At 40.8% G+C, this 13,530-nt stretch overlaps 1 protein-coding gene across 2 annotated transcripts in view, besides 1 other annotated feature; it reads left to right on the plus strand.

Moving 5' to 3' along the window:
- Nucleotides 1–13,530, plus strand: part of PRKCI (protein kinase C iota) — an 83,554-nt gene that overhangs the window by 13,991 nt on the left and 56,033 nt on the right. The gene's annotated exons all lie outside the window — the stretch shown is intronic.
- Nucleotides 11,604–11,673: a silencer, noted in NCBI's record as "silent region_14883". NCBI's record gives its function as "represses an Ori minimal core promoter by ATAC-STARR-seq in GM12878 lymphoblastoid cells {active_cell/tissue: GM12878}" and the evidence as "EXISTENCE:reporter gene assay evidence [ECO:0000049][PMID:35858748]".

A 13,530-nucleotide genomic window follows, 5' to 3' on the forward strand; every position in this document is an offset into this window, starting at 1 on the left:
AATTTTGAATATGTGTTGTCTTATATTTTAATTTAAGAGATTACCTATTTTTAAGCTGAATATTACCTTAAAGAAAATATTGTGGAATGAAAGTGATTTTGACAATCATTATTTCAAAGTAGTGGCAGAAACCTGATACCTCAGTGACTTGTACTCAGAAAACATTTATCATATATGTAGGCTTACGCCTGTAATCCCAGCACTTTAGAGTCTGAGGTGGGAGGATTGCTTGAGGCCAGGAGTTTGAGAACAGCCTGGGCAACATTGTGAGACCCTGTCTCTACAAAAAGTTTTTAAAACTTATCTGGTGGTAGCGTGCACCTGTGGTCCCAGCTACTTGGGAGGCTGAGGTGGGAAGATTGCTCGAGCCTGGAAGGTCAAGGCTGAAGATGGGCCCTGATTGTGCCACTGCACTCCAGCAACAAAGCAAGCAAAGCAAGACCCTGTCTCAAAAAAAAAAAAAAAAGAAAGAAAAAGGGAAAAAGAAGCAAATATCTGTGTGCTGAGGACAGACATTTCCTATCCTCAAACCCATAGTCTGATAGGGAGATGGACACATGTGTAACAAATGTGATAAATTCTGGAACATAAACGCATAGGGGCCTTGAGGAATACAAAGGAAGACACATCTATAATACATCTGCAATGTTTGACATAAACCTGTAACAGAGTAGAAGTTTTTGAGGTAGAGGAGGTGAGGAGAAAACCATATAGGCTGAAGAAGAATATGTAGAAAGGCACAGAAATGTGAAGAACATGATGAGTGAAAAGCAGTAATTCACTGTATCTGAAGTATGAAGTGGTGAAGTATGAATTGGCCTACAGTTTAACAGGCTCCACGGGTGAGTTGTATGAATACAGAAATTTGTTTGAGAAGCATGAGACTAGATCCCCAAGAGCTTTGCAGATCACATTAAATTTTATTTTACATGACTATTATGGAAGTCTAGTTAAAAGGTACCCTAAAGAAAGGGTGGGTTGGGGGTGAGGGATAAAGGCCTACATATTGGGTACAGTGTACACTGCTCAGGTGATAGGTGCAGCAAAATCTCAGAAGTCACCACTAAAAGAACTTACTCATGTAACCAAACACCACCTGCTCCTTGAAAACCTGTGGAAATAAAAAAAGAGAGAAGATACCCTAAATATACTACTTTTTTTACAATAGTTTTCTGTTAATTGTTATACAAATAGAATTTCATTTTAAGGAATGTCATAATATTTAGCTCAATATTTGGGATCATTTCTATCTTCCCTGATATAAAGAACTCTGGAAAGTCATTATTGAAGCTCCAAGCTATAGGTAAACATAAACACATTCTCATTTTTTAAAACAGTGTTCCTGAAGTAATTCATGTTCACTGTTCAGGAAAAAAAGTAGTGCAAAAATTTATGAAATGTAAAAAGAAGCCTCCTGTTTTTCCTTTTTTCTCTCTCCTCCCTCACCAATTCCAATTGTAAGAGAATAGCTTAGTATGTATCCTTCTATATATTTTCTATGCATTTGCAAACGTGTATGTATGTTTCTATAAATTCTTTATTAACAGTTTTATTAACATGACAAATGACATACAGCTGATATTTTGCAGACCTGGTGGGCATGGGGAGCTTGGAGCCCAGTGCCACCCACCCTGGCCCTCCATGGCCTTAAAAAAAAATTATATGGGGCCGGGCATGGTTTCTCATGCCTATAATCCCAGCATTTTGGGAGGCCGAGGCGGGTGGATGGCCTGAGGTCAGGAGTTCGAGACCAGCCTGACCAGCATAGTGAAACCCCATCTCTACTGAAAATAGAAAAATTACCTGAGCGTGGTGGCGGGTGCCTGTAATCCCAGCTACTAGAGAGGGTGAGGCAGGAGAATCACTTGAACCTGGGAGACGGAGGTTACAGTGAGCTGAGATTGTGTCGTTGTACTCCTGCCTGGGCAACAGAGCGAGACTCCATTTCAAAAAAAAAAAAATTATATACAAATCGTTATGCAGTGTTTTCCTTTATAGTATGCGCTGGACATTTTTTCATTTCAGTGTACTTCAATTTGCATCATTACTCTTTTTTTTTTTTTAGTACTGCATAGTATTACATATTATAGATGTTTCATGATTAATCCCTTATCGATGGACATTTGGACTATTTCTAGTTTTTCACTACCATAAACAATATATAATGAACATTTCTTTTCTTTTTTTTTTTTTTTTTGAGACAGTCTCACTCTGTTGCCCAGGCTGGAGTGCAGTGTCTCGATCTCCGCCCACTGCAACCTCCTCCTCCTTGGTTCAAGCAATTCTTGTGCCCCAGCCTCCTGAGTAGCTGGGATTACAAGCGTGCAACACCATGCCTGCCTAATTTTTGTATTTTTAGTAGAGACGGGGTTTCACCATGTTGGCCAGGCTGGTCTTGAACTCTGGCCTCAAGTGATCCACCCGCCTTGGCCTCCCAAAGTGCTGGGATTACAGGCATGAGCCACCACTCCCAGCCTTATTTATTTATTTCTCTTTTAATACAGAGGCTGGGTTCTCACTATGTTGCCCAGGCTAGTCTTGAACTCTGGCCTTAAGTGATCCTCCTGACCTAGCCTCCCAAAGTGCTGGGATTACAGGTGTGAGCCACTATGTCAAAACATATGTATATCAAAACATCATGTTATATACCATAAATATAATTTTTGTCCATTAAAAAATTAAACTAGTTTTTCACACAACTACATGAAATGAGAGGATTTTTTCATTCTTGCCCTTACCAACCTTAGATATGAATCATAAACATTTTTAAAGATCAGTAAGTGAAATGCTAACCTGGTATTTCAAATTTTGCATTAAGAGGAAAGTTGAGTATCTTTATCTTTTTGACCTACCCTATCACAAAGATAGTTTAAATATGGTTACTTATAAATGTCATGACTATCTCACAATATGTCTTCAGCCAGAAAATGAGACTATATATAATTTAGCACAGTGTGCAACTTATGCTTAGCATTCAATAAAATGCTTCTTATCATAAATGAATATTCTTATTTTAATCCTGATCATTTCATACCATTTATTTGCTGATTAGAGTTGTTTTTCAGTCAATGATTTTCAAATTGCAGCACACATAGGCATCACTGGATAATGCTTTTTATTAGACGTACTTAGTTTAGCGATAGTCCATTAAACGTTTTTATAATACCTTTGTATTATCCTTGCCTGGAGAGTTCTGTTCCCAGATTGTCACCTGGCTGTCTCTCATCATTCAGGTTTTAACTCAAATGTCATGTCCTCCAAGAAGCCTTCCTATCTCCATTCATTTTGTATCTTCTTGCCCTGTTTTTTCTCTTGTATGGTAGAGTGTTTTTTTTTTTTTGTATGGTAGAGTGTAAGCTCCATGAGAGCAGAGGTCTTGTCTGTTTTGTTCATGTTGGAGCTGCAGTGCCTAGAGCAATACTAAATAATACTATGCTCAAAAAATATTTGTGGCTGAGTGCGGTGGCTCATGCTTGTAATCCCAGCATTTTGGGAGGCCAAGGCAGAAGGATCCCTTGAGCCCAGAAGTTTGAGACCAGTCTGGGCAACATAGTGAGATAGTGAGACCCTGTCCCTACAAAAAAAATTTTTTTTTTAGTTAGCTGGGCATGGTGGTACACACCTATAGTCTCAGCTACTCAAAAAGCTAAGGTGGAAGGATTGCTTGAGCATGGGAGATGGAGGCTGCAGTGAGCCATGATTGTGCCACTGCACTCCAACCTAGGCAACAAAGCAATACCCTGTTTCCAAAAAAAAGATATATGTGTATATATATATTTGTGAGTTGTACAAGAGGCTAGCAACAAGCCTTTCCCTGGTTTAATTTTGCTTCAGTTATTGGAGACTTAAGCATTGACAGTTACTGTTTATTCTGTTTTTTTTTTCTTAAAGTAGCATATTTTAATTAACAGATGCACATAGTAAATTAACTTTCTGATGCAACAGTCTTATTATAATGCATTTCATACTTCTTTCTCCCTAAGTAGCTATTAAGTTTCCAAGTTTTCTGGGGAAAGCTATGAAGCTCTAGGCTTTGTCTTGTTCAAGTAAAAGGTTAAATTTTTCATTAAGGTCTGTTGATTCCCATGCGATCCTTCTCACCTTGCTTAATTCTGATACCAATCTTTTCTTAATTTTAGGCATACAGAGCCAACAGTAATTATTTTTAAGTTACTTTCAATTAGTTTTCAGTTGTAATTTTGTCACCTTTGTTTTTAATCATGTAGGCATTGGGGCATGTCGGTCTGATCTGGAGAAAAAAAATTCTCTAGGATCAAAGACAGGACAGTCACTTGATTTCTCTGGCATATGAGAAGTGCTGTTCCTCAAGCCAAACATTTAATTGTTGGAATTTTATGTTGGAGCAAGTAAAGATCTTAAGCTTACTTCATCTGTTTAAAGAGATTTAAGACAACTGCCCTTTTTCCTTGTACTCAAAACCAGTCTTAGTGATTTGTTTTACTGTGGAAAAACTGGTTTGCTTAATCTAACTAAACATTTTAGAATGAGTAGTAATTTTGTAACCATCATGCCACACTCCTCTTTCTCATAAATTCTTGTGTAACAAAAGTGTGGGACAGGGAATGACAAATGTGACTTTATTTTTTTAACAAATGTAAGTTTTCAGTTCTTTTTTTTAAATTTTTAATTAACAGATAATAATTGTATATGTTCGTGGGATACAGTGTGATGTTTCAATACATGTATATGTTGTGGAATGAAAAAATCAGGGTAATTAACACATCTATTACCTCAAATACTTATTTCTTTGTGGTGAGGACATTTAAAATCCACTCTTTTTGTTATTTTGAAATACACAATACATTATTATGAATTGTAGTCACCATGCTATGCAATAGATCACCAGAACTTACTACTCCTGTCTAACCACAACCTTGTACCCTTTAACTGGCACCTCCTTTCTCTATCTAACCCACTCCCTCCAGCCTCTGGTACTCTCTACGTGTATGAGTTCAACTTTTTTAGATTCCATATATCATGTGGTGTTTGCCTTTGTATGCCTGGCTTATGCTTATTTCACTTAGCATAATGTCCTCTAGGTTCATCCATGTTGTTGAATATGACATAATTTTCTGCTTGAGGCTGAGTAGTATTCCATTGTGTGTATATGCCATATTTATTTCATCTGTTTATCCATTGATGGGCATTTCAATTGTTTCCATATCTTAGCTATTGTGAATGATGCAGATGCTACAGCGTAGTTCACCTTTGTTTTGAGAGAGGGAGAGAGAGAGACAGAGACAGAGAGAGAGAGAGAAAAGGCCTCACTCTGTTACTCAGGCTGGAGTGTACTGATGCAATTATAGCTCACTGCAGCCTCAAACCTATGGGCTTTTGAGATCCTCCCATCGCAGCCTCTTAGCTACAGGTGTGTACCACCATGCCTAGCTACTTTAAAAAAAATTCTTTTGGCTGGGTGCAGTGGCTCACACCTGTAATCTCAGCACTTGGGGAGGCTGAGGCAGGAGGATCACCTGAGGTCGGGCCAACATGGAGAAACCCTGTCTCTACTAAAAGTACAAAATTAGCTGGGCGTGGTAGTGCATGCCTGTAATCCCAGCTACTTGGGAGGCTAAGGTAGGAGAATTGCTTGAACCCGAGAGATGGAGGTTGCGGTGAGCCGAGATCGTGCCATTGCACTCTAGCCTGGGCAACAATAGCAAAACTCCGTCTCAAAAAAATTTTTTTTGTAGAGACAGGGTCTTGTTACATTGTTGCCCAGGCTGGTCTTGAACTCCTGGCCTTAGCCAGGAGTTGAATTCAACCAACTCTTTGGCTGAATGTGTAGCCAATGCTACTTCACCTATTTAGATAGCTGTATTATGGCTCCAAAGCTGAAAACTGAAAAATTAATATTAACAGCCAGGCATAGGGCTCATGCCTGTAATTCCAGCACTTTGGGAGGCTGAGGCAAGAGGATTGCTTAGCCCAGGAGGTTGAGGCTGCAGTGAGCCAAGATTGCACCACTGCACTCTAGCCTGGACCACAGAGTGAGACCCCATCTCAAAAGAAAAAAGAAAAAGAAAAGACAAGAAAAGAAAAAATTAACAGCACTTAGAAAAGGAAAGCTAAGTACCTCCAAGCATATCTAGTTTTGTAACTTATATAGTTTTCCTTTATAATGTTAAAACATTATAATGTTATAATGTAAAGAACTTATACATTATGAATTATTATACATTATTACATTATTTATAATGTAATGTAAAGAACTTCCTTTAACATTTCTTTTGTTTTTGTTTTGTTTTGTTTTGAGATGGATCCTTGCTCTGTCGCCCAGGCTGGGGTGCAGTGGTGTGATCTCGGCTCACTGCAACCTCGACCTCCTGGGTTCAAGCGATTGTCCTGCCTCAACCTCCCGAGTAGCTGGGATTACAGACACCTGCCACCATGCCCGGCTAATTTTTGTATTTTTAGTAGAGATGGGGTTTTGCAGTGTTGGCCAGGCTGGTCTCGAACTCCAGACGTCAGGTGATCCGCCTGCCTCAGCCTCCCAAAGTGCTGGGATTACAGGAGTGAGCCACTGCGCCCGGCCTCTTGAACATTTCTTATAGAGAAGTTCTGCTGGTGAGAAATTATTCATGTTTTTAATTTCACTTAAAAATAGATTTATTGAGGTATAATTGACATATATATGTATACATAATATATATAATAAGTTATACATATTAAAACTTTACAGTTGGATGAGTTTTGATACCTAGGAACCCATCAGCACAAGCAAGGTAGAGAACGTATCTGTTATCCCCAAATGTTTCCTTGTGCTAAGCAGTGCCTCACTCCTGCTCTTTTGTCCTCAGGCTACTACTAATCTGCTTTCTGTTACTACAGATTAGTTTGCATTTTTTAGAATTTTATATGGATAGAATCATCATATAGCATGTACTTTTTGGTGGGATGTGTGTATCAGTAGTTCATTCCTTCTTATTGCTGAGTAGTATTCTATCCTGTGGATGTACTACAATTCATTAATCTGTTGAAGATCATTGGGATTGTTTTTGGTTTTGGCTGTTTTAAATAAAGGTGCTATGAACAGTCATGTACAAGTCCTTCCTTGTATGGAAATATATTTCCATTTTTCTTGAGTCAAACCTAGAAATAGAATAGCTGGATCATGTGGTAGGTATATATGCTGCTTTTATAAAATGGAAAAAGAAGATTTTGAAAAGGAGATGAGATGGGGCACTTCATCCCAGGCACATCCTTGGGCAGATGGTTTTTAGTAAGGAATTCACAAGGAAGTTGAGGATCAGGAAATTGATTCCTTTTAAAAACTGTCTATGCCTGTTAGTCCCTGAAAAGTTTTCCTGCACTCCAGGGGTACTGTATTCCAATTAGAAGATAGCTGACTTAGAGATGTCCCCAGCTACTTCTCTTAGTTCTGGCCTCTGCCCCAGCTCTGTTCTTCAGACGGACCTTATGCCCAGGAAATTCTGGCTGCCATCTTTTACACACCAGGCTGTCTGGAGGCCTGGGAGAAAAAGGAATTAGACTGGGGTTCACCTGGGAGAAACCCTTGGCAGTGGTGGAGTGGGGATGGATTCAGAAGTGAGGTATGATACTATAATATAATGAAAAAATGTATCTGCTATTCATCGCTGGTTCCTGACAGTGCCTAAAACCCTTGTTCAAGTAAAAGGTTAAATTTTTCATTAAGGTCTGTTGATTCCCATGAGATCCTGAGTAATAGAAGTGAGAAGAGCATCTTTTGTTATTTATGATAAGCCCCTGCCAACCAAACCTGATTTTATGCTAATGAGGTGGCTCTTGGAGGATGGCTTCTGGTTGCCAGAGGAATCAACCATGTGGTTATCTCTAAGGTGGGACTTTTCAGCCTACCTCCCCCTTATTTCTGAGGAGGGCAGAGGGGCCTGGAGATGGAGTTAATCACCAGCAGCCAGTGGTTTAATCAGTCTTGCTTAGGTAATGGGACCCCCTTAAGAACTCAAAATGTAGGGGTTCAGAGAGCTTCCTGCTCGGTGAACAAATCAAGGTCCTGGGAGGGTGGTACATCTGGACCCGGCTTGGAAGCTCTGTGTCCCCCCGTACCTTGTCCCATTACCTCTTCATCTGGCTGTTCATTTGTATCCTTTATAATATCCTTTATAATAAAGTGTTTTTGTAGCAAATTGTTTAACATGAGGAGGGGGTTGTGGGTGTAGGGGCCAGGGAAAAGCTTCCCCATTGATCTCCAAAGGTTTGCTGAAAAATCAACTCACAAGAGGCAGATTAATTGGAGAAAAGTCATACAGATTTTATTACATGTACACGGGGGAACCACAGAGATTACTCACCCCCCAATGGGGTTCGGAAGCATGTATAATATCCTGGCAAAACAGGTTATATGGCTGGTCCAGGTGCAGTGGTGTTTACAGCTAATTGATCACAGCCAGTTACAGATTTCTTTGTTCCTTCCACTCCCACTGCTTCACTTGACTAGCCTAAAAAATTAATTAATTAAATAAAACAGGTTATAGGAGAAGGGAGAAGAGGAATTCTGTTGTGAGGATTACTAGGAAGAATGAATGGATCAGGGAAGGGAGATTAACTTGTACATTATCTTGTGGAAGGATCTGTTCAGGTGTGATTACATTCTTGGTCTTACTGGGAGGGGAATGCAAAACAGTTGTTCTCGGTGGGTCTGGATTTTAGGCGATAAAGGAACTTCAGAGAACGTCATTCTGACTTTGGGAGAAGTCAGTTGTAGGGGTGGGTGGTTGGGGGAAGTCAGAGAGACCCTGAGGTATTGGTTACTGAGTCCCAACATGGGAATGCCCAGTTTGTAGCCAAGTCAGACTAATTTGACTGATTTGTGGCTAATTTGAGGATCCACTACTTGCAATTAGCATCTGAAGTTGGGGGTAGTCTGTGGGACTGAGCCCTAAACCTACGGGGGTCTGTGCTAACTCCAGGTGGTGTCAGAATTTAATTAAATTGTAGGACGCTCGATTGGTCTCCACAGAGAATAGATTTGCTTCTGGAAAACTCACACATCTGGTGTCGGAAGCATTGTGAGTGGAGAAACAGTTTTTTATTTATGAGGCAAGAGAGGCTATGGGGGTCTTGAGGCGGTATTGGGGACCTTAGATGCTATCATCTGCTCCAGTATCTGGGAAGGTCTGTCCTCCTCATTGGCATCCCGTCTCCAGTTGCCCTGTCTTCTTCCTCTCCCTCATAGACCACTGTTCACACGGGATACACTTATGATCCCCACACTGTTTTCTCCTTACTCTCACTTCTCCATCCCTAGGCAATCACTGATCTGCTTTCTGTCACTATTCCATACATATAAATGACAAAATATAGTGGGTTTTTTTGTTTTTGAAAGACAGGATCTCACTGTGTTGCTCAGGTTGGCCTCCAACTCCTGGGCTCAAGCAGTCCTCCTAGCTGAAACTACAGATGCACACCATGACTCCTGGCTCAAGCACAGTGTTTTTGTACTTTTTAATAAATGACATTATATATCCCATATTCTGAAATGTCTCTTTTTTCCCTGGATGTTATGTCTTTGTTTTTTTTTTTTTTTTTTTTTCTGACACAAATCCTTTCTTTGTCACCCAGGCTGGAATGCAGTGGTGTGATCATGGCTCACTGCAGCCTACCTCTCAGGCTAAAGCAGTCCCCCTGCCTCAGCCTCCCGAGTAGCTGGAACTACAGGAGTGCTCCACCACGCCCAGCTAATTTTTTTTCTTTTTTTTCTTTTTGAGACAGAGTCTCGCTCTTGTCACCCAGGCTGTAGTGCTCGCTCTTGCCGCCCAGGCTGGAGTGCAGTGGCATGATCTTAGCCCACTGCAACCTCCGCCTCCCGTGTTCAAGTGATTCTCTTGCCTCAGCCTCCTGAGTAGCTGGGATTACAGGCGCCTGCCACCATGCCCAGCTAATTTTTGTACTTTTAGTGGAAACAGGGTTTTGCCATGTTGGCCAGGCTGGTCTTGAACTCCTGACCTCAAGTGATCCGCCCGCCTCGGCCTCCTAAAGTGCTGGGATTAGAGGGCTGAGCCACTGGGCCCAGCCTAAATTTTTTATTTTATTTTTTGTAGAGACAGAGTCTTGCTATGTTGCCCAGGCTGGTCTCAAAACTCCTAAGCCCAAGTGATCCTCCCGCTTTGCTCTCCCAAAGTGTTAGGATTACAGGCATGAGCCACCATGCCCAGCAGATGTCTTGAGATCTGTTAATGTAGTTAGAGAACTAGTGTACCCTTTAAAAATTTTTTTATTGTAATTAAATATAAATAAGAAAATTTACCAGTTCGACCACTCTTAAGTGTACAGTTCAGTGGTATAAGCACATTCACAGTGTTGTACAACTATTAACAGTATCCTTCTGTTTCCAGAACTTTTCACCATCCCAATCAGAAACTGTACCCATTAAACAATAACTCCCTATCCCTCCTTTTGCAGTCCCTAGTAACCTGTATTAAACTTTCTGTCTATGAATTTACCTATGCTTGGTCACCTTTGTTTTTGTGTTTTTGAAAGATGATTGTGATTGGTAAATAACTCCAGGTTGGAAGTTTTTGTTTTTTTTTCTCGTTCAGTACCCTGTCTTATAGCTTGCATTGTTTCTGATGCAAAATCTGCTATCAACTTCCTTTCTGTATGTGAAGCATCTCTTTGGCTGCTTTTAAGACTTTTTTGTTTTGTTTTGTTTTGGAGACAGAGTCTTTGCCTGGAGTGCAGTGGTACAGTCATGGCTCACTGCAGCCTTGACCTCCCAGGCTCAAGCAGTCCTCCCACCTCAGCCTCCCAAGTAGGTGTGCGCCACCATGCCCAGCTACTTTTTTAGTTTTTTTTTTAAATAGAGATGGGATCTTGCTATGTTGCCCAGGCTGGTCTTGAACTCTTGGACTCAAGCAATCCTCCCACCTTGGCCTCCCAAAGTGCTGGGATTACAGGCGTGAGCCACTGCAGCTAGCCTTAAACCACTGTTTAATCCAGTGTTTTAAAATTGTTTTAGAGGGAGGGTTATGTCTATTCCTATTACTTCATCTCTCCTGATGTGAATGTTGAGGCTGGATGCGGTGGCTCACACCTGTAATCCCAGCACTTTGGGAGGCAGAGGCGGGCGGATCACCTGAGGTCGGGAGTTCGAGACCAGCCTGACCAACATGGAGAAATGCCGTCTCTACTAAAAATACAAAATTAGCTGGGTGTGGTGGTGCATGCCTGCAATCCCAACTATTTGGGAGGCTGAGGCAGAAGAATCACTTGAACCTGGGAGGTGGAGGTTGCAGTGAGCCAAGATCGTGCCATTGCACTCCAGCCTGGGCAACAAGAGCAAAACTCTGTCTCAAAAAAAAAAAAAAAAAAAAAAAAAAAAAAGTTGAGGATGAGCGGCTTCATGGGATGGCATGTATTTCTGTAACCACTGACTTCCACCTCCCAGAAAAAGGAAGCAACAAGCCAAAAATTCACTACTGTTGTTATTGGGCCTGATAGTGAAAGGATGACCACCTAAAAATTATGGCATCCTTGGAAAATTTTTGCAAATCTGTATTTTAAGCAGTGTAACCCTTTACAGTAAGGGAGTACAGTGACTTTTGCAAGTGGTTTAGTGTTCTGACTGCATATCCAGAGGCAGGATGGCAGTACGAAGGTCCTAGTGGGAACAGAGAGTGAGAGTCTGTGAGTCTGTGGCTAACTCAGACATCAGGGAGAAGAATGTGTGATACTGTCTCAGAGGTTGCCAACTTTGGTATTAGGCTGTGTTCTTTGAAATGTGGGGCACTGAATTTAGGCATATACTGAAATAACTAAATAAAACAAGAGTTACATATATGTTTCATGTTCTACATCCTGTCAGGTTATCTCATATAAATAATTGGATTGTGAATATTTACCTAACTTTTTGAGGTCTAATGCCCTAATTTGCTGCTTTCTTTTTGTAGGTAAAGAACAACAGCAGCAACAAAAACAAAAACAGTAGATATATTGGGGGGGGGAAAAAACCTGCTGGTTAATATACAGATTTCATTACCTTGAAGTTCACTGCACTGAACAATTCTCACTCTGGATGTATTCCTGCTCTAGGATGTGAATTTAGACTTTTGTAATAGAGTGGGCTTTGAGAAATAGCTTTTCTGCTCATTTTAGTTTCATGATGACTGCATGGAATGTTTTGCTTCACGCTTATGCATTGAGTTTTATCAAGCATTAAGCAGTTGGCCGAAACAGGTAATACTTGAACATTCAGTCCAAGAAAAACAAAATGGATTTGAACATACGTAGAATCAGTAACTCTTATTTTCATACTTCCTTATGGTTATTCAGAAGTGTTGGTCTCTAGGTACATTTTGAAAGCAAGTACTTGATCTGGCTTAGGTTTTAACTAACAGCAAGCAGATACTGGCCTGATAAAAAGATGATGTACAGCAAAAGTGAGATGGTCAGAATTGGCTTTTTTCTTTTTCTTTTCTTTTTTTTTTTTGAGAGGGAGTCTTGCTTTGTCACCCAGGCTGTAGTGCAGTGGCATGATCTCAGTTCACTGCAAGCTCCACCTCCCAGGTTCATGCCATTCTCCTGCCTCAGCCTCCTTTGTAGCTGGGACTACAGGTGCCCGCCGCCACGCTTGGCTAATTTTTTTGTATTTTCAGTAGAGACGGGGTTTCACCATGTTATCCAGGATGGTCTCGATCTCCTGACCTCGTGATCTGCCCACCTCGGTCTCCCAAAGCGCTGGGATTACAGGCATGAGCTACCGCGCCCGGCCAGAATTGGCTTTTTTCATTATAGACTACTACAGTAAAATCATCCTAACTGCAGAAGTCACTTGAAATGTGGAAATCACAGTTTGCTATGTATTTGATTTGGTTCAATCTTTTTTTTTGCTTTCTGGGACATCAAAATCAGCCAGCGAGTCTAGGGAAATTTGGACTTAAGGTTTTAATGTTTAGATTTTGAAAAGCCAGGATGCTTATAAAACACTCATTGGTATCATTTACGACAGAGAGAGAGAGAGAAAGGAGAGAGAGAGAGAGTGCGTGTGTGCGTTTATGTGTGTATGTATATCTTGTTTAAAAAACAGTCTGGACTCAGTTTTCTCACCTGGAACATTAGAAATGAAGTGTTAGCTGGGCGTGGTGGCTCACGCCTGTAATCCCAGCACTTTTGGAGACCAAGGTGAGACGATTGCTTGAGCCTAGGAGTTTAAGACCAGCCTGGTCAACATAGGGAGACGCTGTTTCTACAAAAAAAGAAAGGAAAAAAAGCCAGGCATGGTGGCATGAGCCTGTGGGATTCAGCTCCCACCTTGGAAGGCTGAAGTAGGAGGATGGCTTGAGCCTGGGAGGTCAAGGCTGCAGTGAACCAAGATCATGCCACTGCATTCCAGCTTAGACAACAGAGTGAGACTCTGTCTCAGAAAAAAAAAAAAAAATGATACCAACTTTCATATTTGTGGCAAAATGAGATAAATTTACGTAACTGAAAAAGGGAGTCTTTTTTTAATGAATTACTTTATTTCTTTGAGGAAAAATAAAACAGATTTGTAAACTTTGCTCCTGGACT

This window comes from Homo sapiens, chromosome 3 (genome assembly GCF_000001405.40).
Source record: "Homo sapiens chromosome 3, GRCh38.p14 Primary Assembly".
Taxonomy (NCBI): Eukaryota; Metazoa; Chordata; class Mammalia; order Primates; family Hominidae; genus Homo; species Homo sapiens.